Genomic DNA, 27149 nt, shown 5'->3' with positions numbered 1-27149 from the left:
TACTATGTTATTACTAATAATAACAATACCAGGTCAGGGTTGGTAGCTCATGCGTGTAGTCTCAGCACTTTGGGAGGCTGAGGTGGGAGGATCACTTGAGCTCAGGGGTTTGAGACAGCCTGGGCAACATGGTGAAACCATGTCTCTACAAAAAATACAAAAAATTAGCCTGTTGTGGTGGTGTCAGCTACTTGAGAGGCTAAGGTGAGAAAGTTGCTTGAGCCTGGGAGGTCAAGACTGCAGCCAACATATTTTGAGCACTTTTAGTGGTAGCTACTATTTTAAGCACTTCACAGGTATTACTTGATTTAACCTTCAAGGCAACTTGGCAAAAGGTCTTATTATTTTTGCTTGTTTGATTGTTTTATAGATTTGTTCATTTAACAGATATTTACTAAGTACCTTTAAGTGCTAAGCACTATTCTACACACTGGTTTATATTAGGGAACGAAAAAAAAACCTTGTTCTCATGGAGTTTAGAGTCTAGCAAGGAATGATAAATAATAAACATAATAGTAAATTTTATAGTGTCGAAAAGAAAGAAATGAGAAAAATTAAAGGTACAGCAGGGTAAGAGAGATTAGGAGTCCAACTAGGGGCATAGGAGAGGAGAAAAACGTTGCCACTGTAATAAAGTGCTCCAGGTAGGCCTTGGTGAGGGGGTTTCATCTGAGAGGAGACTTACTTCCGGGTGAAGAAACAAAGACACAAAAAGGGTAAGTAACTTGCCTATAATCACAATGAATGAATAACTAATAAAACAGCCCAAATTCAGACCCAAGTATCTGACACCAGTCTTGTGCTCTTCACTATCATATCTGCAAATCATCCGGGGAGCTTGCTTAAAATATAGGTTTTGAGTTGGGGGATGGGGGTCCGATCTCCTTAGTACAGGCGATTCCTATTACACGGAAGTTCAGACCAGTGCTTTTCAAGGTCAATCAGTAATCTCCCAGGAAAAGTCTCCGAGTATATCTTATTTAATACAAGTTGTTCTCTTTATGTTATTACCGTGGTTACTGGGTGACTTTTATTGGCTCATTTTGAATGCTGATTCAAGAACAACCTTAGCAAACACCAGGTGGGATCCTTGACTTTGTCAGAGGGCAGGAGTATCTGGTTTCGTGGCGCTTGTATGCTAAACAAGTGAACACGTCTTTTTAAATTCCAATTCAGAAAACTAGGTCTTGGCCAGACGCAAGCAAAAATATTAACAAAGTGTAAGACTTAGCCTGTCTTACAATTTCTCTTTACTTCAGCCACTGGATGTGAAGAATGTTATTTATAACCACAACCCTTTACAGACTACTGTTTCTCCTCGCTCACCTTCAGTTGTACTTCCTCTTTCGGCAAAACAAGGGTGAATTTCGCACAGTTCTTTTCAGTTGAATTCTGCTCAGTAAGGCATGTGAGGTCTACTATGTCTAATTTGTCAACATACTGCAAAGATAAAGGAAGATCACATTACATTATTTCATGGGTAATACACATTAGTTCTAGCAGGAAGCAAAATAAGTAATATCTTCCTTTCAACTAATTAGTACTTTGTATGATATCCTGGTTTTCCTAATCCCAGAGGACATGTGGAAATGTATTATGTGGTGGTGTGCTGAACCTGGCTCACACAGGTTTGCAAAAGCCAATTGTTAAATTTTCAGGAATTTTGCAAGCAAGTTGTTAAACACAGCCATTATTTTAAAAATCGAATTATATAAACATACCAGTAAATAAATTATATTCAAAGCAAAGGTAATTAAAACAAAATTTGTTACATTCTATTTCTATATTTTACTGTTCTCTATGTTCTTAAGGTTATTTACATCTTCATTTCTGGATGGTGAAAATACCATATAATACTGTGCTACTGTGCTTTTCTTCCCAACTACATGCTCCGTGAGGTCATACTGTTAGGTTGAAATCAGCCACAGTGAGAGTATTTTACACCATGCAAATTGGTAAACCTTACAAATCAAGCTTGATTTATTATTTTGTTGATGTCCAGGGGCAGCACTTTTTTTCTGCAAAAGGCCAAACAGTACCATACTTCAGGCACACATACAGCCTGTTGTACATTCTTCGTTTTTGTTTTTTTCTTTAGAAACACTTTAAACATATAGAGACATTCTTAGCTCAAAAACTGAAGAAAATCAGGCCATAGGCCAGATTTGGCCCATCATCCAGATTATTGGCCCTTGGTGTAGGCTTTAAAAAGTAAAGGAAAAAATGTTAATATGCAGATGAGATAGGTTTGTTGTGTCTGAATCTGTTTCACTCTAAATAGAACAAAAATTGACAAAATATTCTTCCAGAATTCAAAAACTATTATCTAATTCAGCAAAGAAATTGCTCACATTTATTGATTTTAATACATACATGATGTTTTGACATACATCATTTTACTTTCTTTTTACTCATTAATGTAAATGAAAATATTAGAAAATATTCATGTCAAATATCATATTTAATGATAATAAATTTATTATGGAAAGAGCAGATTTAAATACCATTTAAATCTCCATTTGTCAAATTATGATCGAATTACATTGACAGTTGGTTACCAATGCAAGAGTTAGGCAAAAATCAAGGAAAGCATTCTGTGAGAATCAATTGTCTGTATGGACATTACAATAAAGACTATTGTGTATTTTTCTAATTGTGTACTATACATTGTTCATATCAGTAATATTTATAACAAGTTTATGTATATATATATTCATACTTTTTTCCAGAAAGCTATTCAGCATTTACTGCACACCACTGATTATGGCAATCCTATTAAGAAATTCCTATCCTATCCAAGTATAATAAAAATATTTCTTCTGAGAAATTGGTCAATTTCCACTCTCTATATGCAACGGGCTTGCCTTCTAGTAGTAGAAAGAACTACCTGTAGTAAGTATAGTAGGGTTTTTATGATATATATATTTTTACTAAATTAGCCTCATTCTTGAGTTCTTTTTATCTCCTTTTATGTTTCTTTCAATTGTAGCCAATATGACTTATTTTACTGTATATCTGTAAGTCTTATTTTTCTGAGTAAAGTAGGACATAAAAATAGGTATATAATTTTTTTCCAAAGCTATTTCTATATTGATGAGTTTGAGAGAAAGTTCGAGTTGGCCTAGTTATTTTCAATTTAACCATTCCACAATGTATATATATTTTAAAACATCATGATAAACAATTTTATATGTCAATTTTAAAAATAAATACATTCAAAAAATATGGAAGGGAGGTTCAAAGGAAGAAAGAATCTAAAATTAAACAGAAATCTTTTTTCTGAGGGATTGTCTAGATCAAGCTCAGTGAGTTTTGCTGCAACAAAGGAGGAAGCAACAGAGGAAGAGGTGGCAGTTAGTTAGAGTGCAGTAGCCTGATCCATTGATTAGAGGAAAGGAAGTCATATCTTTTTGTTTTTATTTGTATCTTGTGAAGAGGCTTAAAGGTCATCTGTCTAACCTCACTGACATCTGATGGCATCTCTGCCAGGGTATCCTTTCATTAGTCATCCAGTCTGTGTTCAAACATCTCTAACATGGAACTCATGCCTCCTGAGCACCTCTGCCTACTAGCAAGTTTTTTCTTGTATTAAGCCACAACTTTCCTCCAATTTTCATCCATTGTCCTAATCTCTTCTTTCTGGAATAACATGAAACAAATTCAGTGACCCTTTCACACGACTTCCTGACAGCCTTTCAAATATTTAAAGCCAGCTTTAAATTCTTCCCTTTTGTAAGACAAAAATCTACACTTCTCACCTTGTCTATCCCAGTGCTTTCTTCTGAGACTATCACTTTAAAAAGTTCCCAAAAGGTCTGTATACTCTTAACAAAAATTGGTAGATGGGCAATTCTGAGACATTTCACTAGAACAATTTCCTCATGGCATGGTGATGAAGAAGGCTGGCTTAGGAGCAAGACCTGGATTGTACCTTTCGTATTACCTATCTAACCTTGTACAATTCTTAATCTTTAAACTTCACTAATCTCATCTATAAAGCCGGAATTAAAATAGCACCCATTCTGCAGAGTTGTGAGACTTAAATTAGGCAATGCATGTAAAATGCCTGAATGCTTACTATGTGCCAGCTACTCTCTTAGGTCCTTACATGTACTATCTCATTTAGTTATTTTGAGAACCTTATAAAATGGACTACTATTTTTATTCTGATTTTAGAGATTTGAAGACTGTGTTGGAGATCTTTTGTTTGCTCTTTTAGATTCACTTTTATTCCTTCACCACCCAACACTCTGCGGCAGGAGAGAGACCTGTATGGACAACATCAAGGGGCTCCGTACCCTTTGAGTTCCTATTGGGTTGGACCACTGGAGAACAGTGGCAGGAGATCAGAAGAGTGAGGGTGGGTATTTATTACCATAAGCAGTTGCTCCCTCAGTCAAAGATCATACTCTCCTTAAGGCAGTCATCTCCATACAATTCACACTACTTTCCCACTCTTTCCTCTGAGTCCTAGGCATGGTAATGAACACTGTTTTAACCTCAGGATTCTGTACTATCTTTGTAATTTTCCTACACCCTGTTCACTGCTTTGCATATTTATTAAAACTTTATTAAATTCTCTTCAAATTGCCCAATTTGAGATGTCTTCTGTTTCCTACCAGTTTCCTGTCTGATAACACTGAGACACAGAGAGGTGGGGTAACTGGCCCAAGATTCTGCAGTTAACAGTGGCAGGGCTAGGACAAACACCCAGGCAGGCTGTCTGAAGAGACCAGGCTCTCGATTATTAAGCTTTACTGCCTCTTGCCATGTAGTAAGTGAGCAAAAATTGTTAGCTCTCTCACTTACTGTGCAATAGAAAAGGTTAGAATAAAAGCTCTTTTACATTTACTGACATCAGTGGGAAATTGGAATGCACAAAAGAGAAATTAATTTTGTAAAATTTATTATGGCATTTGAAAACATTCTACATTACACAGGTTATTTTTCTGTCTCTTTCATTAGATGTTGGCTTCTAATAATGATGTTCTAATTATTAGATGGGCTACTATATCCAGATCCAGAATGTTTATATTTAATCAAGTTACTGGCTCATAAAGTCTCTTATAGTGTTCCAAGGTAGGTAAGCATTTGCCACTAAAATACTATATCTTATTCCTGGAAGAACTGAAACATACAATCAAAATTTGAAATTAATATGAATAAATAAACCTCAGAATCCCTTTATTGTTATTCTCATGTTTAAGCCTTTAGAAGTCCTGCTTTGTGAATATGTTTTTGTCTTTTCAGAAAAATTAAATAATGGCTTTGCATGCTCTGGAGATCATTTTGTTCCTTTCCAATTATAACTGCATGCTACAGCAAGATAAAAAGTGGGAGAAATTGAAGCTATCACTTGGTATTAAGCAATATATGTGCAGATGTCTTGTCAAAAATTTTCACTTTTTAACTAAGTTTAGTTATCAGAATCAGAAAGAAAATAATGAAAAGTAAAAAACATGAGTCAATATCTTCTTCGGAATTGCCCAGGAAAATTTACCATCGTTCCTGTGATCATTGGCGGCCCCCACAGATTTAAACTTTATTTTTTGAATTAATTTTACCAGAGCATCTTTATTCTTGGATGGCAGAAAATCCAAAATGAATAATATGCTATGTGACAAGGGTATATTGGGAAACAATGGAATCAGCTCAACATATTTACTTACTATTATACTCTTTTTGTCGGTATAAAAGAAAAGAGTAGTTCCTCTCAACTCTGTCCAGTAATGCTCATACTCCTGTGGGAAAGAAACCATAAACATTATTTCATTAGTGTATATTCAACTATTTTTCTAATAATATTATCCTTTGTAACTTTCTTAATTGCTTGTGTGATATAAGAAGTCTTCTTTATCCTGGATAATTCTAATTTTTATAGCTTAATTTTACATTTAATTCTTTTCATTTTTTGAGATAGGTTCTCTGGTCTCAATATGTCCCCCAGGCTGGACTCTCCAACTCCTAGGCTCAAGCAATTCTTCTGCCTCAGCTTCCCCTCCAAGTAGCTGGGACTACAGGCATATGCCACCATACCTGGCTTAACATTTTATTTCCTTCCTCCCTCCCTCCTTTCTTCCTCCCTCCTTTCTCCCTTCCTTCCTTCCTTCCTTTCTCTTTCTTTCTTTCTTTCCTTCTCTCTTTTTCTTTTCTTTTCTTTCTTTTTTCAGAGTCTTGCTCTGTTACCCAGGCTGGAGCGTAGTGGTACAATCATGGCTCACTGCAGCCTTGAACTCCTGGGCTCAAGCAATCCTCCCACTCCAGCCTCCAGAGTAGCTAGGACTACAGGCCCATGCCACCACTTGATTAAATCATTCTCAAGTTTATTTTAGTATAACATTTCAGATAAGGATATACAATCATGTGCCACAAAAAGATCTTTTGGTGGATGACAAACCGCCTATATGATAGTGGTCCCATAAGATACAATGGCGCTGAAAAATTCGTATCAACTGTCAATAATGTTGTAGCACAATGCATGACTCAGGTGTTTGTGGTGATGCTGGCAAACAAACCTACTGCATTTCCAGTCAAACAAAAATATAGGACATATAATTATGTACAGTAAATAATACTTGTTAATGATTAATAAATGACTATGTTACTGGTTTATGTACTTACTATACTATACTTTTTAATCATTGTTTTAGAGTATACTACTTCTACTTTGAAAAAACATAACTAACAGTGAAGCAGCCTCAAGCATGTTCTTCAGGAGGTATTTCTAAAGAGGGCATTGCTATCATAGAGATGACAGCTCCATGCATGTTATTACCCCTAAAGGCCATCCACTGGGGCTGGGCCTGGTGGCTCACGCTGTAATCCCAACACTTTGGGAGGCTGAGGTGGGCGACTCCCTTGAGGCCAGGAGTTCCAGACCAGCCTGAACAACATGGCAAAACCCCATCTCTACCTAAAAATACAAAAATTAGCCAGGCATTGTGACGTGCACCTGTAATCCCAACTACTCAGGGGGCTGTAGCAGAAGAATCACCTGAACCCAGGAGGCAGAGGTTGCAATGAGCCAAGATCATGCAACTGCACTCCAGCCTGGGCGACAGAGCGAGATTCCATCTCACACACACACACACAAAATGGAATAAGATATGAAGGTGGAAGATAATGATATTGATAATCTTGACCCTGCGTAGGCCTAGGCTAATGTATGTGTGTCTTAGTTTTAAACAAAAAGCTTAAAAAGTAAAAAAAAATAAAATAAAGAATTTTAAAAATAGAAAAAGCTTATAGAATAAGGATATAAAGAAATAAAATATTTTTGCAGAGCTGTACAATGTGTTTTTGTTTTAAGGTAATGTTATTACAAAAGAGTCAAAAATTAAACAAGTTTATAATGTAAAATAGTTACAGTAAGCTAAGATGAATTTGTTAATGAAAAAGAAAAACATTTTTTATAAACTTAGTGTAGCCTGAGTGTACAGTGTTCATAAAGTCTACAGTAGTATCTGATGATATTCTAGGCCTTCAGATTTACTTACCACTCACTGACTTACCCAGAGAAACTACCAGTCCTGCAAGCTCCATTTGTGGTAAGTGCCCTATACAGGTATACCATTTTTTCTTTTATACCATATTTCTACTCTGCTTTTGCTATGTTTAGATATGTTTAGATAAACAAATACTTATCATTGTGTTACAATTGCCTACAGTATTTAATACAATAACATGCTATACAGGTTTGTAGCCAAGAAGCAATAGGCTATATCATATAGCCTAGGTGTGTAATAGGCTATACCATCTATGGTTGCATAAGTATACTCCGTGATGTTCACACAATGATGAAATCACCTAACAATGCATTTCTGAGAATATATCCCCATTGTTAAGTGACTCATCACTGTAATTTGATTTGTGTTTAAGTAGTTCATTTTCTAAAACTTTCCTCATTGATTTAAGACTTTTTATGCAATTTCAGTGGAAGCCTACGCATGTCAGATGGACCAGTGAAGGGCCCAGCATAGGAAAAGCATATAATATCTACCTTCTAGGACAGATGAAATAATTTAATGAATTAATACATGTAAAGCACTTAGCAGAGTACATGGCTCATAGCTGGGGTTCAGTAAATAGTATATATTATTGACAGATCAAGAAAATGTGAGAAATTGATAATTGAACACCATCAAAGCTGAACTTTAAAATCCAAATCTTATTGATGTGGTGAATATTTAATTATTAATACATTCATATTACTCTAGATTCTACAGAAATATGACTTTTGAAGTTTAAAATATTTAAATAACCTAGTTAAACTCCCATTTCATTCAATTAAGTTTATTTAAATAAATATGAAGAGTGACTATATTACAAAAGAATGGCAAGTAAGTTTTAAAAATAAAATCCTTTCACATCTAAAGATTTACTTTCATATGCAGCTTTTCCCAAAAGTGTGTTTTAAAAAAATTCCTGTTATTTTAATAAACATGTTAATCATTCCTTCCTTTATGGTTTGATAAGCTGATGTTTTACAACTTATTGAACCATCATGATATTGGCGATTAATATAAGAAAGTTATATAAAGGGTTTTCTCTTTTATTGTGCATGTGAAGATACTTTGTCTTATGGTATTTTGTGTCTCTTCAATATTAACATATCCTTTATGTTTTTTAACCAGTAAAATGTTTGTCGACTCTTCAGAATTTATATGCTTATTTTCTCAAATAATGACGACTCTATAACTCAATTTTGCTTTTAATTCCCTGGCTACCAGGAAGCTCAAGATTAAATTCATTTTGAACTACAATCACCATTTTTTTCTTATGCTCTTGGTAGAACTCTTTTCTTTCTTTGTCTTCATGCCTAATAAGATAATATATGAGTTAGCTTCTCCCATGTAACAAGTCACCCTATAACTTAGTGGACTAAAATAAGCAAATGATTTCTATTTCTCACCATTCTATGGTTGGCTGACGGCCTTTCTGATCTGGGCTTGCTTGGCTATGGCTGAATGGTCTAAGGTGGCCTCACTTACTTGTCTAGGGTCTTAGCTGGGAAGGCAGGAATGACTGGGAAGGGAGGGACAACTGGAGTCTCACTCTATCCATTCTTTTATCCAGTCAGCTAGCCTAGACTTGACACATGCTGGCAGAAGGATTACCAGGAACAAGAGAGAGCAAAACCCAATGGGCAAGCTTATTCTAAGACTTTGCTTGTGTCACATTTACCAACACATGTCACATAACCCAATCCAGATTCAAAGGCTAGAAAATTATTGTTTGCTGTAAGTTCAATTTTGAAACATAAAATAAAGATTAGAGAAATAGATTCAGCCTCTTTATAGGATGAGCAGAAAAGTCATATTTCAAAGAGAGGTACATACAGTAAGACTTGAACAAATTGGTAGTGTGACTGCAGCAATCAACCTCAGGGGCACATTGGAATTTGGGACAAGGTATCTTTGTTCAAGCCCTGCTGTGTTTTCACTCTATCCTCCCCCCAGTTGAGAACTGGTTATAACATGCAATGAACCTGCTGATGCCTCTTGAACCAAGGAACAAATTACCATAGAAAAGAACAATTCAAAAGGGCATATTATTGAAGGATCAGCCAATAAATGGTCCTCAAAGAAGTAGTTATAAAACTAGGCAAAGAGATTCTCTTTCTTGTCTGAAATCCAGATGCCCAATATATACCTGATACGTCTCAGTCAAGCAGTTTAATGACAAGAAAACACATCTTAATTTCAACCCCATCCAAAGTCTTTTCTTTCCTTCTTTTTATATAGGATGTAAAGTGTTATTGCTATAACAGTATCCCTTTACCTGTCTTTCTACCACTTTCTTATACTTTCTAATCTATTAATCTACTCTATTTTTATTTTATTTTATTTTTTGATGGAAGTCTCACTCACTCTGTGGCCCAGGCTAGAGTGCAGTGACGTGATCTTGGCTCACTGCAACCTGCTCCCCTCTGGGTTCAAGAAATTCTCCTGCCTCAGCCTCCCCAGTAGCTAGGACTACAGGCATGTTCCATCATTCCCAGCTAATTTTTATATTTTTAGTAGAGACGGAGTTTCACCATGTTGGGCAGGCTGGTCTCTAACACCTGACATCAAGTGATCTGCCCATTTCAACCTCCCAAAGTGCGGGGATTACAGGCATGAGCTACCGTGTCCAACCTACTTTCGAATCTATTCTGCTCAGTACTGCCAGGGTGAATTATTTCCTTTGCAGAGAGTAGGACTGAGTATCTAATAGGTGTGTTTGGGAGGCAGCAAGCTCAGCTCAGCCCCTTCCTGTCCTCTCTCAGCTCAGTCTACCAGGAGAGAGTGAGTGTACTGCTCTGTTCCCTGCCATGTGGCAAAGGGCCTCCAAGAGGTTCAGCTTGTGGCTCTTAATCTGAGTCAGTGACTTGATGTAGCTCAAGGCTACCCAAATCTGGAGTAAAATATAAGCACAGTTTTGGCCTTAAATCTAAACTGCACATTGATAATTTGTCAATAATAAAAGTAACTAACTGATCTTCATTTGTGTGATTTCTGTGTCTGGCTGGTTTCAAACTTGGGAGAAGAAAAATTCTAATAAAAGAGTATATAAAAAATGTAAAAAAGAGGGAAGAGGGCCAGGCGCGGTGGCTCATGCCTGTCGTCGCAGTACTTTGGGAGGCCGAGGCGGGAAGATCACCTGAGGTCAGGAGTTCGAGGCCAGTCTGGCCAACGTGGTGAAACCCTGTATCTACTAAAAATATGAAAATTAGCCGGAGTAGTGGCGGGCGCCTGTAATCCCAGCTACTTGGGAGGCTGAGACAGGAGAATCTCTTGAACCCAGGAAGCGAAGGTTGCAGTGAGCAGAGATCGCGCCACTGCACTCTAGACTGGGCGACAGAGAAAGACTCTGTCTCGTAAAAAAAAAAAAAAAAAAAAAAAAAAAAAAGCAGTTGGGTTGAGGGGGGAAGAGAAGTGGGTATGACTGCCCATGGAGCTTCTTTTTGAAATTATGAAAATGTTGTGGAATTAGATACTGGTGATGGTTGTATAAGTTTGTGAATATATCAAAAGACACTGAATAATAATAATTATTATTGTGTCTCCCATATGAGAGTTTACTTTAAGGAACCAAAAATAGGAGTACCCAAAACTAGGAGTACCCCATAAACACAACACCACCTCCTGCTATTGCTCCATAGAGTTGTTGAATAATTGAATGGACTAATAATGTATGTGTGTAAAGCACCTAAGACCTGGGACATAGCAAGTATTTCATAAATGTCAGGCACTTTAAAAAAAGAAAAGAAAAGAAAAAGAAGAGCATTGCCTCAACACTCACATTATTGGCAAGAACTTTGCATTTTTTATTAGCCACATAATACTTCTTCCATGTGGTGATTTGTATGTGTGGGTGTGATAGCAGTATCTAAAAATTTCTAAAATAGATCTCCTTCAATGGTAATATGTATGAGAAGGAGGAAATATTTTCTAAACCAGAATAATGAAACCCATTGTCATTCCTATGTAAAATCACCCTTTCATGTTTTCTTAAATAAAGAGGTTTAAAAATCCATTTAGAAATCTGGCTTGAGAAGTTGCTAATATATACTAGCACTGCGATCAGATAGCCATTCTGTAAAAAACCATATGGGAGTGACTAGTTTTTTTCACTCTGTTAAAAAATACTTGTACTTTCTCAATCTGACCTATAATTACATAACAAAATAATTAAAATTTATCTTGCAAGTTGTTTTGTTTCTTTGCTTATCCGACCAACTCTTTTTAAGGCTTCCCCACCCTGCATTAATGGTAAGCCTCTGCAATGAAAGGAGTAAATCAAGGCTCTCCTGTTTTTTGGAGCTGGGAAGCAGGTGAGGAACAGTGCAGGAGGAGATGGGAATGTAGAGAAATGCATATTGTTCTGAGAACTTTATCATCTGTGTAGTTTGTTTGTTTGTTTGTTTTGAGATGGAGTCTCCTGTCACCCAGGGTGGAATGCAGTGGTGTGATTTTGATCTCTGCTCACTGAAACCTCTGCCTCCCAGGTTGAAGCCATTCTCCCACCTCAGCCTCCCAAGTAGCTGGGATTACAGGCACATGCCACCATGCCTGGCTAATTTTTGTATTTTTAGTAGAGGCAGGGTTTCACCATGTTGGCCAGGCTGGTCTCGAACTCCTGACCTCAAGTGATCCACCCGCCTCAGGCTCCCAAAGTGTCATTTGTGCAATTTTACTAAAGTATGGCTTCTAAGATCTAGTCCAACTCCAGGATTGTATGATTCCTGGAGGAAAAAAATACAAGAGAAAACCCTGAAGTCAAAGCCTACCACTCTGTTCATCGTCCTAATCAGCCTCATAACTACAGTATTACCCTGCCATAAGGTATAAAAACTAGTATTACTGATAGCCAGTAAAGGTTTATTGAATTCCCTCTGTATGTACATGCAGACCTCCATTGCACTATCGAGAAAAATTGTAGAGGTGTTCAGTCTCAAAAGAATGATATGAATTGGGTAAAGTTAAATAGGGAAAAATGGGAGTTTTACAGGTAAGCAAACGTATATACTTGTGGAAAGGATTAAGGATTTATTAAATGGGGGGAAAAGCAAGTATAAAGGCACTAAGTTGAAAGCAAAGGCAGCCCTGGAGGAAAAGTAAGGTTACAAATAGCATTAGACCATGTGAACTGCAACCACAGCTGCAAACCTAAGGACAGACCAAACTTATATTCAGTATGCAGAGACTTACAGGTCACAATCTTGATTTCATTTCGATAAGATGTAATAAATACACATAGAATCTGAGTCATTTATAAATATCAATCTCAATAAACAACATCTAGGTACCTATTCATATCTAGAGAAATACTTAAAAATTAAAAAAATTAATTTGGAAGGACATATCTTTGGAATGAAGCACAAATTTCTTTTTTTTTTTTTTTAACAATCGTTTGTGTGAAATCATTGATGTAAGAAAAGAGGCTGAAATAAGACTTCTGAATTTATCACTAGCTTAACTAGGAAACCTACAATCAAATGGTAGAATTTGAGTTTGAGAAGCAGCATGGTCAAGTGCATCACAATCAAATCCAAGCTAGCCTCCTTAATGGAAGAGGAACCTTGAATAACCTCTGTGGCCAGAACTCACTCATTTGTTTATTTGGAGTTGTTGTTTTAGAGAGACAGGGTCTCGCTCTGTTGCTCAGGCTGGGGTGCAGTGATGCAATCATAGCTCACTGCAGCCTCGAACTCCTGGGTTCAAGTGATCCTCCCACTTCAGCCTCCCGAGTACCTGAGAATACAGGGTGTGCCACCACGCCTGGCTAATTTTTTGATTTTGTAGAAATGGGGTTTCGCTATATTGCCTAGGCTGATCTCCAACTCCTGGCCTCAAGCAATCCTCCTGCCTTGGCCTCCATAAGTGCTGGGATTACAGGGATGAGCCAGCATGCCTCACCTACTCACTCATTTGTGAAGTGAATAAAATAATTTCTACCCAGAAGAGTTACTGTAAGGATCACAGTGACAGAACACTAAGAGCCTAGAATGGGATCCATTATATGTTATACCTCAAAAGGTTGCATTCATTATTATATAGTCCACTTAGTCATTGGAGCAACCTATTCAGCTATGCAAGAGAGTAATTATTCTTTTTAGAAAGGAGAGAACAGATTTAAAAATGTGAAGGAATCGCCCAAATTCTAGAATTGGACTGATACTTTTATCTCTTGACTTCCCAGTGCTCTTTTCTCATTAATACAACTAGCAAAAATGAATTAACTAGCAAAAATGAATTACAATGCAAGCTCCAGTTAAGTTTCTCTTCCTCTGTCCCCAATAAAAAGCTCTCATTCTTTGTTTTTGTGCGCAAGTAAAGTACATTTACCTAAGGAAGAATGTTGTATAGTGGTCTCCAAAATGGGATGCATAAATTCCAAAGGTGTGCAAGATGATCCATTGGGAGAGAAAATTTTAGAATATTTAATTATATTTTATTTCATATTTCTTAATTCATTTTTTATATATCAAATAATTTACATGGATTAATAGTACGGGAATATATATATTTATAATTTCCAAATGAATTAATATTCTTTTTTTGTTGTTTTTGAGATGGAGTCTCCCTCTGTTGCCCAGGTTGGAGTGCAATGGCGCAATCTCCGCTCCCTGCAAGCTCCGCCTCCTGGGTTCACGCCATTCTCCTGCTTCAGCCTCCTGAGTAGTTGGGACTACAGGCGCCCACCACCTCGCCCGGCTAATTTTTTTTTTTTTTTTTTTTTAGTAGAGACAGGGTTTCACCTTGTTAGCCAGGATGGTCTCAATCTTCTGACCTCGTGATCCGCCCGCCTCGGCCTCCCAAAGTGCTGGGATTACAGGCGTGAGCCACCACGCCCGGCTGAATTAATATTCTTATATTAGGGATCTGTGCTCAAAATGTTTTCCTGAAAGGAGTGTGTTATTTTAAAATTTGGAGATTACTGCCATAGAGAACTGTGTGTGAGCACAACTTAGACAGCCCTAAAAAATTTCCTTTTTTTTTGAGACGGAGTTTCGCTCTGTCACCCAGGCTGGAGTGCAGTGGCACGATCTTGACTCACTGCAACCTCCGCCTCCCAGATTCAAGCGATTCTCCTGCCTCAGCCTTCCGAATAGCTGGGACCGGGCCCGGCCCACACACACTGTTTTTTTTTTTTACTTTAGCACATCACAGATTGAAGAAATTATGAGACGTTGCCCAAACTATCTCTTATTTTCTTTCTTTTTCTTTTCTTTCTTTCTCTCTTTCTTTCTTTTTTTTTTTTTTTTTTTTTTTGACAGAGTCTCGCTCTATTGCCAGGCTGGAGTGCAGTGGCGCGATCTCGGATCACTGCAACCTCTGACTCCCAGGTTCAAGTGATTCTCCTGCCTCAGCCTCCCGAGTAGCTGGGACCACAGGTGCGTGCCACCATGCCCTGCTAATTTTTGTATTTTTAGTAGAGACGGGGTTTCGCCATGTTGAACAGGTTGGTCTCCATTTCCTGACCTCGTGATCCGCCCACCTGGGCCTCCCAGAGTGCTGGGATTACATGCATGAGCCACCGCTCCCGGCCCACCCACACTCTCTCTTATTTTCAAACGGTCCCAGAAAAAATGAGAAATTTTCCCATTTGTAAGAACTGCGATGCCAATGGTATTCCACTGTGGCATTTAACAGCTTTGATAATAAACACATCTTCCTGGTTAATTCAGAATCCTAGTGCTGTGGCTTAAATAAATCTTCCCACATTATCTTTTCCATAAAGATTATGTGTTTTTCATGGGTTCTTGACCTCAGATTTAGAAACCTTCTAGAATTGCATGCAAAATGGTATACGTTGTTACATTTTCCTGGGGAAAAGCTCTTTAAATACTTAAAAGTGCCCCACAAAAAATAGCTAAGAAGCACCTCTCAGCATTTCATGCCTTTATAGACCAGGTTACTCTTCAGTTATATTTTTTCTAGTTTAAATGTTCTGAATGACTTTGGCAGAGACCCAACTTTACATTCTGCAGAGCCTCTCACCTTCCTCTAGCCAATCAGCTCCAAAGATTACTTGGCTATATACCTTTGGCTCACCTTCTGTTCAAAGATTCCCTGGCACTTTGCTGCCAATTGCTTGGAAATTCCACTTATTTTGCTTAGATTTTTCTCATAGCTTCTATTTTCAAGTACTCTAATTATCACCATGCTCACTCTCCTTGGAGTCATATTACTTGCAGACCTCAAACTAATTTTAGTACCTGAATAAGAGTATGATAAGTGATGAAAGGGTAAGAGAATGAATCTAACCTTTAGTGTGAGCCAGGTGTTTTACATATGCTATCCCTTTAATCCCTGAAACCACCACATAAGTAGGTATTATTGTCATCCTCTTGCTCTCTTCTCCCTGACATACAAGTAAAAGGTACTTAGTGGTCTAACTCAGAGGCCCATGCCTGTAATTCTAGCACATTGGGAGGCCAAGGTGGGCAGGTTGCTTGAGCCCAGGAGTTTGAGACCAACCTGAACAACGTGATGAAACCCTGTCTCTATAAACAATACAAACGTTAGCCGGGTGTGGTATGCGCTTGTAGTCCCAGCTACTCAGGAGGCTGAGGCAGGAGAATCACCGGAGCCGGGGATGTCAAGGCTGCATGACTAGTGATTGCACCATTGCACTCCAGCTTGGGCAACAGAGGAGACACTGTCACACACACACACACACACACAGACACACACCCACACACACAAAGATACTTTACTATAAATTCAAATAGAAACACAAGTTAATTTCATTGGAAATATTTATGCCTATAGGTATTCATTCTGCTTCAAAGAATGCTTTCTAAGAGAAGGTAAAGAGTAGAAATTTGGTAAGGAAGACATCATTCCTACTATATTAAGCCTCTTGAAAATAAAATCTTTGTGTTTTTTTCCATATTCTCCAGAAATGAGTGATGCTTGGTGCATAGGAGGCACACAATAAATGTTGAGTGAATAAATTGATTGAACACCTACTGAATCCTAGAATGTACCTTAGGAGGCAAGTAGCAAGTAGTATACTCTCTATCTTATAGTTGAAACAGTCTCAAGGAGATTGAGTAACTTGCACAAGATCACAAGCTATAAGTGGCAAAACCATCAGATAAAGGACACTCTAAAATTCTTATTCTTTCTGCTAACCATACCAATGACATGTCTTCTTTAAGCATTTAAAAAAAACTGCTATCATAAACAGTTATTATAAATACCTTGGAAAACATTCAATGAACAACCTGATTTAAATTACTAATTAGAATTTTTTTTTCTCAACTTCCCTTTCCTGGCAAAGTGTGACTATGTGGCTTACCTGTGGTGACAAGATTGAATTTACATTAAAAGCATATAGGATCAATCTAAAAAATTCTAATATAACTGAAAGGTAATTATTTATGCATGTTTAACATCCATAACAGAATACAAATTACCATGTCTTTACTCTCAAATAGTAAATGATCTGATTATATATGTAAGAAATGTGAATATGCTATTATAGATTTTTCATATATATAATTTTTCCACAAGTATTCATAAATCCTCAGAAAATATATTTTAGCATCATTAAACATTTCTGATGGAATTTCTGAAAACCTTAAAATTTTTCTAGTTTTAGTCAGTATACAATTTCATAAAATTTGACCTAACTTAATGATTTTTTTATTTAATAACAGGCAATTTTGGGCTTATTTCTCTAATTAATTTCAAGTCATCCATAATTACTGTTTTAAAAGTAATGATTTTAACTAACTATAAGTTTTAATTATTACATTTAAAAATACAGAATGCTTCATGGATTTTCTTAGAGCAAAGGTATTTATGTAGCTTAGTGTACTTAATACCCACAGTAGTACCCCAAAAATTAAAAGTCACTATCTTGAATAGTATTTTAGAACACATAACTATATATAATGTTAAACAGTATGAACTTTGTCATTTTAACAATTTTTACAAAAGCCATTTTTAATAATTTGATCATTATAAACTTCAAATGACTCAGAACAGGAGCAGGTTTAATTTTAATCATGATATCATTTTATCTTAATGGTACATGTCATCATTGAAGCATAGCAATAAATTGTGGAGAAAATACAAGAAACATTTTATCTCCCAAGCCAAAATCTTTTGTGATATTTAAATAAATTCTTTGGAAATTTAGCTTATTGACTTTTTTATATTAGTGCCTTAATATTACAACCTCTGTTATTATACATATTATATATGTGTATACATACAGGTTTAAGCCAGACATTGTATTTAAATTATGAAAAATTGGAATCATTTTTCTGAGCTCAAAGAAGAGAAGATGATTTAATTTCAACAGAAACAAGGAGGTCTTAACACATCACATCACCATGAAATAAATATTAAATTAAAACAGAAGTCTTAGGTTTAACATTATCATCTATAGACTCACCCGGTATCCTGACCGCTTGATTAATAAAAAACCTTCAAAGTACAAAGGTAGAGCAGTAATCTTTAACCTTTCCTGGAAGATCCTGCGAGGGGCTGGTTTTGGGGGCTTCTTAGCCATCATACCCCTCTCTTTGGTGTGTGGTTTGGTTTCTCGTCTCAAACAAAATGAAATCTTCCTTCTGTGAGAGGAAAAGGCAACTGTTCAAAGAGGAAGTCCCAAATTGCTTTTTAACCACCAACACTACCACCAACAGGACACACACACACACAGACGCACACACACACACACACACTTTTTTTTCCATTACTTTTTGTGAGGTAAGAAAGAACAGGTGTAGACTGACTTTCAGAGGGCAATCTCTGGGTAATCCACATGTGCTTAGATTTAAAGCGCAAAATAAACAGAAGATTAACATCACCAGAAGATGAAAGAAACAGGTGTAGAGATTGTGAACTTTAGGGGAGATATCAAGAACACAGTTATTCTTTCTATCTTTGTTTTTGTTTATTGGTGTCCATTTTTATTTGCAGAAGACATGACTTGAATAAACTCAGCTTCATTAAAAATTACTTCATAGAATAATTTTATTAGTACTACTTCTGTTGGTTAAATATTTTAGGGTCAAGTTTTGTGTAAATAAAAAAAATAGTTGTATCTCATGCTCATTTGATGCTTCACTAAATATAAACCACAATTATGGGAACACGGAATATGGAATTTTTTTCTTTTTTCTTTCTTTCTTTTTTTTTTTTTTTTGCCAGTAGATATTCCAAGTACATGAGTTCCCAATGAATATTTAGTGCTATGTTTTGAATGTGTCCTCCAAAACTTATGTGTTAGAAACTTAATCCCCAATGCAACAGTGTTTAGAAATGGGACTTTTAGAAGGTGATTAAGTCATGAGGCCTCTGCCCTCATGAATGAATGAATTAATTAATGCTGTGGGAGTGGGTTTCTTTCTCTTTTTTCAGAGGCAGGGTCTTGCTCTGTTGCCCAGGCTGGAATACACTGGTGCAATCACAGCTCACTGCAGCCTTGACCTCTCAGGCTCAAACAATCCTCACACATCAGCCTCCTAAGTAGCTGGGACTACAAGGCACGCGCCACCACTCCTAGCTAACTTTTTCATTTTTTGTATAGACAGTATCTCCCTATGTTGCCCAGGTTGGTCTCAAACTCTTGGGCTCAAGCGATTCTCCTGCTGTGGCCTCCCAAAGTGCTGGGATTACATGTGTGAGCCATTGCACCTGGCCTGGAAGTGGGTTTTTTATAAAATCAAGTTTGGCACTTTCTCACATGCTATCATCCTCTCTTGCTCTTCTATCTTCTGCCATGGAATGATGCTGCATGAAGGTCCTCATCAGATGCTGGCCATGTTCTTTGACTTCCAGACTCCAGAACCATGAGCGAAATACATTTCTGTTCATTATAAATTACCAGTCTGTGGCATTCTGTTACAGCAACACAAAGGAGTCTAAGATATTTGGCAAAAAAATATCTGGCAGAGAAAGCTGTAAGTTTTCAAACTTTTATTTTGTTCTTTTGTGCTTTCTGAGCTGCAGACCATTGATACTATGATTCATGGATGGACTTCCCACAGTTATCTAGTGAGATTTATAAAGCTATACTGGGGCCAAAGTGCACTCAATGGTTGCATGTAGGAAATGGTCCTTAAGAGATTGGATTTGGCGTAGCACAGTGCAGGAAATGATGGGAGAAAAGAATACTAGAAGGAATTTTGATTTGTCTTACAGGGGTCCTAAGAATTTCTACCATTGCCTATTTCACACTCAGTATTTCAGAACTACTCTAGATTTAGAACAGCCTGGGCCCAGTGAGACCAGCCTATTATTAGAAATCAAAGCAAGTCAGGAGTCTTCAGTCTGATTCTCCTTTCCTAATGGAGAGACTGCATGGTTTTCTCCACCAGTATGGGTCCCACTGATCCTGCAGCTGTAGATATGGGATGACAAATTGTCTACAAAGTGAGGTAGAACAATACGGACTGATTATCAGTAAGTTAGAGAAGAGTGTTCAGATGTATTATCAAAATGAAAACAGCTCAAGACAGAAATAGGGAGTTGAAGATCCAAAATGACTGCTTTGCTTTTGTAAGTTTAGACCTGCTTCTTGCTACCCAACCTTCAAATAATAAAATATAAGTCCAACTGAATTTTTTGAGGCAAAAACCATAACTATTTTTTAGTTTCGGTATACTAAGAAAGTGACTTGAATAACAGGAAAACCTCCTGATTGAATATATGACCTAATCCACTTTCTTGGCAGCTGTTAGTTGTTGTAATACAGGGGGGAAGTGAAAGGAGGGATTAAGAATTGAAAAATGAAAAGAAGCAAGGATAAAGAAAGAATGCTGGGAATCATCAGTGATTACGCACTGACTTTATGGTCAGAAAGTTTCATAGGTGAGAGAAAATAATACCTCTAAAAAAATGTAAAGGGGATTTTTTGTTGTTGTTAAATAAGCACTTAGTTTTTTTTTTGCCTTTAAAATATAAGCAACAATTTAAAAACAGCTAATCAGACACAGTAAGTTACTTTGGTCTGCTGATTTGTTCGTCAAATTCATTCTTAATATACCAAGAATCAAATTATATCTCCCTGAAAAAGACTACAAAATGCAAAAATCTTGCTTAAACAATATTAACAAGTTAGTCCTGTCTGCAATGACTAGTGTCATTGCACCACTGCACCATTACAATGGAAATCCTCTTACAGATACCTCAAGTCTTAGGCAGTGAAGAATAAATTTGTAGGTAAGGAAATATAGTAGAAAATATGTTTGGACATAGGGCATAAACTAATTTTGCTACTAACCAGCTCTTGAGACCTTGAACAAACCACTTGACTTCTCTGGTATCATAGCTTCCTCACCTATACAAGGAGGCGATGGACTACATGACTTATTGTTTGAAGAGCTGCAAAAGGCTTTTAAGTAGTCTCCTAGTTTCCACTCTTTTTCTTCTTTGATTCATTTAATATTCAACCTAATCAAGATATTCCCCTACTGAAAAGACTTTAAAGGATTCTCATTGCTTTTGAGATTCCTTTTTAAATATTTTTTATTGAACACTAAATACTTATTGAATACCAACAATGGGCTCAAGCATGGCACGTTGGTCCTTTATAGCAGGGCCCCTTTTAAATAATAACTCCTCAAAATACCCTTTGCTCTGGTAATTTCATTTAGTCTCAGTTGCCTGAATACCCTATGATCTTCCCTGTCTCCTCATACCTTTTCAGTCACTGTACTCTGCTTAGATGCCCCTCCTTCTCTTTGTTTATATGGTAATGTCCTACTCGTCCTTCAAGACCCAGGCTGAATCTATCCTTAATTCTGAACATCTCCTAATTTCCTGAAGCTTTCTTCACCCCCACAAAAAAAAAAGTTATTACTCTCATTTCTGCTTTCCCAAAGCACTTTGCACGATTTCTTTCTTATAGTATTTGTCCTGTTGTAGTTATTTGTATACATTGAGTATCAACAAGAAACAGTTTTTCCAAAGGAAAGATTGTGTTGAAGTAGGGGTTGGTTATAAGTAGATTGCAATATCATATATTTACTGAATAGCTTCTAGCTAAAAAATATGATTCTAGTTTGGAGAATTATTAGCTTCCATTGTGACAGGAGTTTCCTTTTTTCTGATATATGTGACCATTGGTTGACATATGATTCTTGTGTTGCCTTGTAGAACAATCATGTTACTATTAAACTATTGGAGCCCAACATTACAGCCATCAGTAGCATCTGTGTCACAGAAGATTGTTACAAATCAGGTTTTATGGCAAATATAACTTAACAACTTTGGGTGAAGTATAAGATTTAACTCATATAAACCAAAATCTCAGTGCTGTATTGACTCCTCTATGTTATAAGGTCATCTGAGTAAAAATCCACATTTTTTACAATAATTGAGGATCTCTAAAATACTTTTCTATCCATTTATTAGTACTGAATCAATCAAATCAACCAACCCTGCTCCAGTACTTCCACATTTCTGACCTTTGTTTTGCTTAATACTTACTGATGATTTATTGCCATATGCATTATAATTTGCGGTAGTATATTTCTAAGATATTTTAATTGAATACATTTATTTTTGCAACTCATACCTGAAGAATACAACTTTAATTTTAACCATTGTGTGAAATACTTATAGCTTATCAATGGCTGGTATGAATCCAATACAATCTTTATTATGAGTAAATTTTTTATTACTATTGATAGAGTTAAGCCACATTTTCTTTTTCTTTTCTTTTCTTTTCTTTTTCTGAGACTGAGTCTTGCTATGTCGCCCAGACTGGAGTGCAGTGGCATGATCTCAGCTCATTTCCACCTCTGCCTCCCAGGCTCATGCCATTCTCCCGCCTCAGCCTCCTGAGTAGCTGGGACTACAGGTGCTCACCACCACACCTGGCTAATTTTTTGTATTTTTAGTAGATATGAGATTTCACCATGTTGGTCAGGCTGGTCTTGAACTCCTTACCTTAAATGATCCGTCCGCCTTGGCCTCCCAAAGCGCTGGGATTTACAGGCATTAGCCACCACACCCAGACATGCAGCATTTTCAGTGGAGAAAATGCACATTGTAATACCACAACTCCAGAGATTATCAGACATACAATATGGAGGGAGCTTCCTACTCCTTTGCCTGAGAATTACTGATACAGTGAGCCATTTTTACTCAGAAAATGTTTCCCTTAAGTCTTTTGAAACAGAAAAAAAAGGTGGGCAATCATTGTTACAGAAGTGATATTAGTAGCTCTGTCAGAACAGTTTAATTTGCTAACCCTTATAATTTTCAGTACAAAGAGTTGCATCTGGGATGATAAAAACTTTTCCTAGTTATGTATTTTCAAACTATTTTTACAGTGGAAAATATCACTTTTGTTACTGAGAAATAGTTTTTGGATGCCAGGTAGATACAGGACACTGGTTTTCACACTAGGTAACTCACAGAATAATGGTAGCTTTAATAGAAACTAGAAATTCAGAGTGGGGAGATAGTTTGGGTGGTAGAGGGATAATGAATTCAGTTTTAACCATTTCAAACTCAATGTATACAAAGGTTAAGTCTATGTTTTCTCTTTTATTTCTCATCCTTCATGCCTTCCTTAGGGAATAAGGTGGATTGGTGCTTACCGTCATTCCAAACCCTTCTAGTGTGCTTTTGTTTATTGCAGAGGCTAAAAAGATAAAATCTACATTTTTCAGACTTCTTTGCAGCTAAGATTGAAAAGCATTCAACATGATTGGCAAGGCAGAAGGGAGGCGGGGTTCATTCTTATGCTGCCTTTGTTTTTGTTTGTTTGTTTGTTTGTTTTTTAAACTTCATTGAGAGGAGGTCTGGCTATGTTGCCCAGGCTGGTCTCAAACTCCTGGGCTTAAGCAATCGTCCTGCCTCAGCCTTCTGAGTAGCTGGAATTAACAGATGTGAGCCACTGCACCAGGCAACCTTTGGCTTTTCTAACCAATAAAAAGGCATGTATGGCCTGTAGGCATCTAATTTTTCTGTGGCAAAGTTATCAGAAGTCCCAATGTCTGATCACTAGCTTCATGGGTGTTGATAGTCAAGTCACAGACATCAGTTTGCTTGTGCATATCATCATATCATTTTAGGTAAGGTGTGGCTCTGGAGCCGGAAGCAGTAAGGAGGCTTTCTGCTCTGAGAGGATTCTTTTTTTTTTTTTTTTTTTTTTTTTTTTTTTGAGACAGAGTCTAGCTGTGTCCTCCAGGCTGGAGTGCAGTGGCACCATCTTGGCTCACTGTAACCTCCGCCTCCCGAGTTCAAGCGAGTCTCATGCCTCAGCCACCTGAGTAGCTGGGATTACAGTAGTGTGCCACCACTACTGTATAAGTATAGAATAAGCTACCATTATTCTGTGAGTTACCTAGTATGAAAACCAGTTTCCCGTATCTACCTGGCATCCAAAAACTACTCCTCAGTAACAAAAGTGACATTTTCCACTACAAAAATAGTTTGAAAATACGTAATAGGAAAAGCTCTTATCATCCCAGATGCAACTCTTTGTACTGACAGTTATAAGGGTTAGCAAATTAAACTGTTCTGACAGAGCTACTAATATCACTTCTGTAACAATGATGGCCTTGCTAATTTTTGTATTTTTAGTAGAGATGGGGTTTCACCATATTGGCCAGGCTGGTCTCCAACTCCCGGCCTCAAGAAATTTGCCTATCCTAGCCTCCCACAGTGCTGGAATTAAACATGAGCCACCATACCCAGACTCATTGGAGAATTCTTATTGGTAGTGACTGACAGAGCAGGAGCACCATCATCTCAAATACTGCCACTTTAAGTTCCAGCTCCCTTTTTAGCCTCATGCATTTCAAGGAAATCACTTCTCTTCTAACTACAAGCAGCCAGAAAGAGCAGAGAGTAAAACAGATAAGACAGCTTGGGCACAGAGGGAGGTGGGGGGAAAGTCTCTTGGGTAACTGCCAAACTTCACCCTCATACAATGGGCCCCAGTAAAACAGTGGGCCTTAATAAGCACGTTCCTTTCCCTTCAGGTGCACTAAGATAGGGAAGCTAAAAGCAGACTCGGGGGAGTATGCCTGCAGCGCAGAAAGATGTATGGGAACAGACACACAAGTCTTCCTCCCAGATAAGCACAGCAAAGAGACACAGAAGCAGTACAAGCCTCTGATAAACTCTCCCACCCTGAATCCTTAAAAACTCTTAGTCTGTAAGAGAGTGTGCCTCTGACCTAACTTGGCCAGAAGCCCCCTTGGGTTTTCTCTAAAATAAACCTGTCTTTGGCTGTCAAGCCACTTTTTGTGTTTCTTTCCTCTTTCTTTAATTCTTATAGTGATTTCCATAACGTGGCAGCTTTGTAATTGTGGTGGCTTCCTGATTGCATGATGTCAGTATGATCTTGGAGACATAAGCATTAATGTCAGCTTCCCAATTTTTCTATTTGTTTTATAACTGTAGAAACATCAGCTGCCTCTTAATGGCTTAGTTCTTCAATGTGCATTTGGGAATTATTCCTGAAAATCCAAAATACACTGTTTCTTCATCCTCTCAAAAATTTTATGAGCTGTTAAATGCAGGTAGCAGATCCCTTTTTGCCAAAACTAGCCATCACAAATTGTTCTTTTTTTTTTTTTTGAGACGGAATCTCGCTCTGTCGCCTCGTCTGGAGTGCAGTGGTGTGATCTCGGCTTACTGCAGCCTCCGTCTCCTGGGTTCAAGCAATTCTCCTGCCTCAGCCTCCCGAGTAGCTGGGATTACAGGCATGTGCCACCACACCCGGCTAATTGTTTTTGTATTTTTAGTAGAGATGGCGTTTCGCCACGTTGGTCAGGCGGGTCTCAAACTCCGGACCTCAGGTGATCCGCCCGCCTCAGCCTCCCAAAGTGCTGGGATTACAGGCGTGAGCCACCGCGCCTGGCTACAAATTTTCTTTTATGTAATTGAACCCTGATTATACCACAGTTCCCCATTGTCCATAGGATAAGTGAAAAGTTATCCTGACATTGAAGTTGCCCCATAATCTAGTTCCATTCTGTCAACATGAACACTTTTAAAATTTTTATTTTTAGTTTAAGAGAAGGAGTCTTGCTCTATTGCCTAGGCAGAGGGCCATGGGGCAAGCAATCCTCCCACCTCAGCCTCCTGAGAAGCTGAAACTAGTCACATGCAATCACACCTGGCTAAATTTTTAAATTTTTGATTTTTTGTTGAGACTGGGTCTCACTATGTTGCCCAGGCTGGTTGTGAACTCCTGGCCTCAAGTGATCCTGCTGCCTTGGCCTCTCAAAATGCTGGGATTATAGACATGAGCCACCGTGCCTGGCCGCACTTTTCAATATTAGTCAGATTTTCTCTAGGTCAACAGCACATCACTTCTGCCCTGTGTCTTTGCTTCTAGTTTATCTTCCTGTTGTCTCTTACTTTTAGGTGAATGATGGAGCCTCCGGAAAAAAACAAAACAAAACAAAACAAAACAAAACAAAACAAAACAACTCTTACTTTTAGGTACTGTCTGCAAGTTACCATTTTGGTATTTTATTGTTTATGAGTTTCCATAGACACTTGAATTTACAAATATGTTATATATCCTATGCCACATATACTTAATTTAAAATGACCCAGGCTTAGCAAGTAGTATAACAATTCACCAAAAGATGCTCACACTGTATCATAACTTACAGCTGAGGAGGCAGGCACTGTTCAAACTATTCTTGATAGCTTTCTTTTTTTTTTTTTTTACAAAGAACTAAAGCATGTTTCCTGTCAGGAGCCAAAAATAAAAAAATAGAAAACAAAACTGAGAACTAAAGCACTTTAATGCTCAATGTTTCTAATGCTTTGAGTTACAATGTGCTATATAAGTATTAGTTTTACTATTTTTTCATTTCCCCATAAATTTATAACTGACAGCAAGAGACATGTTAATATTTTGATAATTTTTTTTTTTTTTTTTTTTTGAGGCTGAGTCTCGCTCTGTCTCCCAGGCTGCAGTACAGTGGCGTGATCTCGGCTCACTGCAGCCTCTCTCCCAGGTTCAAGCAATTCTCCTGCCTCAGCCTCCCGAGTAGCTGGGATTACAGGCGTACACCACCACTCCTGGCTAATTTTTGTATCTTTATTTTTATTGTTTTTGAGACGGAGTCTCGCTCTGTTGCCCAGGCTGGAGTGCAGTTGCACGATCTCGGCTCACTGCAAGCTCCGCCTCCCGGGTTCATGCCATTCTCCTGCCTCAGCCCCCCGAGTAGCTGGGACTACAGGCACCCGCCACCATGCTCGGCTAATTGTTTTGTATTTTTTAGTAGAGACAGGGTTTCACCATGTTAGCTAGGACGGTCTCGATCTCCTGACCTCGTGATCCGCCTGCCTCGGCCTCCCAAAGTGCTGGGATTACAGGCGTGAGCCACTGCGCCCAGCTAATTTTTGTATTTTTAGTAGAGACGGGGTTTTGCCACGTTGGCCAGGCTGATCTTGAACTCCTGACCTCAGGTGATCCGCCAGCCTCAGTCTCCCAAAGTGCTAGGATTACAGGCGTTAGCCACCGCCTCCAGCTGATAATTTTTTTTTAAAGGTCATGAAACAATCAGAATTTTTCCCAAGCAAAGATCGGTTTGCATGGTTTCAGCTTACAGGGTCTTTTTAAGGGTCCTGTACTACTTTGCAAAGCAATGACTGCCTGAAATTTAAAAACAGTATCCTACATTACTTGCCAATTTTCACTCAGGGTAATTTAAGTCCTCT

General features: G+C 37.7%; 1 protein-coding gene across 2 annotated transcripts in view, besides 5 other annotated features; it reads right to left on the bottom strand.

The window, feature by feature from the left end:
- STAP1 (signal transducing adaptor family member 1) overlaps positions 1 to 18098 on the bottom strand; it is a 48611-nt gene extending 30513 nt beyond the window's left edge. For both annotated transcript variants that reach the window (NM_012108.4, NM_001317769.2), the window contains exons 1-3: positions 17896 to 18098; positions 5670 to 5741; positions 1327 to 1440 (exon numbers count right to left, since the gene is read on the bottom strand). In NM_012108.4, coding sequence (NP_036240.1) covers positions 1327 to 1440; positions 5670 to 5741; positions 17896 to 18015 — 306 coding nt within the window. In that variant the 5' untranslated portion in view covers positions 18016 to 18098. The remainder of the gene's footprint in view (positions 1 to 1326; positions 1441 to 5669; positions 5742 to 17895) is intronic.
- Positions 3 to 62: a silencer, noted in NCBI's record as "silent region_15462". NCBI's record gives its function as "represses an Ori minimal core promoter by ATAC-STARR-seq in GM12878 lymphoblastoid cells {active_cell/tissue: GM12878}" and the evidence as "EXISTENCE:reporter gene assay evidence [ECO:0000049][PMID:35858748]".
- Positions 1137 to 1216: an enhancer, noted in NCBI's record as "active region_21597". NCBI's record gives its function as "activates an Ori minimal core promoter by ATAC-STARR-seq in GM12878 lymphoblastoid cells {active_cell/tissue: GM12878}" and the evidence as "EXISTENCE:reporter gene assay evidence [ECO:0000049][PMID:35858748]".
- Positions 1220 to 1514: a silencer, noted in NCBI's record as "tiled region #12077; HepG2 Repressive non-DNase unmatched - State 24:Quies". NCBI's record gives its function as "represses a minimal TATA promoter and a strong SV40 promoter by Sharpr-MPRA in HepG2 cells {active_cell/tissue: HepG2}" and the evidence as "EXISTENCE:reporter gene assay evidence [ECO:0000049][PMID:27701403]".
- Positions 25722 to 25841: an enhancer, noted in NCBI's record as "active region_21596". NCBI's record gives its function as "activates an Ori minimal core promoter by ATAC-STARR-seq in GM12878 lymphoblastoid cells {active_cell/tissue: GM12878}" and the evidence as "EXISTENCE:reporter gene assay evidence [ECO:0000049][PMID:35858748]".
- Positions 26347 to 26436: an enhancer, noted in NCBI's record as "active region_21595". NCBI's record gives its function as "activates an Ori minimal core promoter by ATAC-STARR-seq in GM12878 lymphoblastoid cells {active_cell/tissue: GM12878}" and the evidence as "EXISTENCE:reporter gene assay evidence [ECO:0000049][PMID:35858748]".

Source organism: Homo sapiens, chromosome 4 (assembly GCF_000001405.40).
Source record: "Homo sapiens chromosome 4, GRCh38.p14 Primary Assembly".
Classification (NCBI taxonomy): domain Eukaryota; kingdom Metazoa; phylum Chordata; class Mammalia; order Primates; family Hominidae; genus Homo; species Homo sapiens.
The sequence above is the reverse complement of the archived record's forward strand: the minus strand, read 5'-3'. Positions and strand labels throughout refer to the sequence as shown.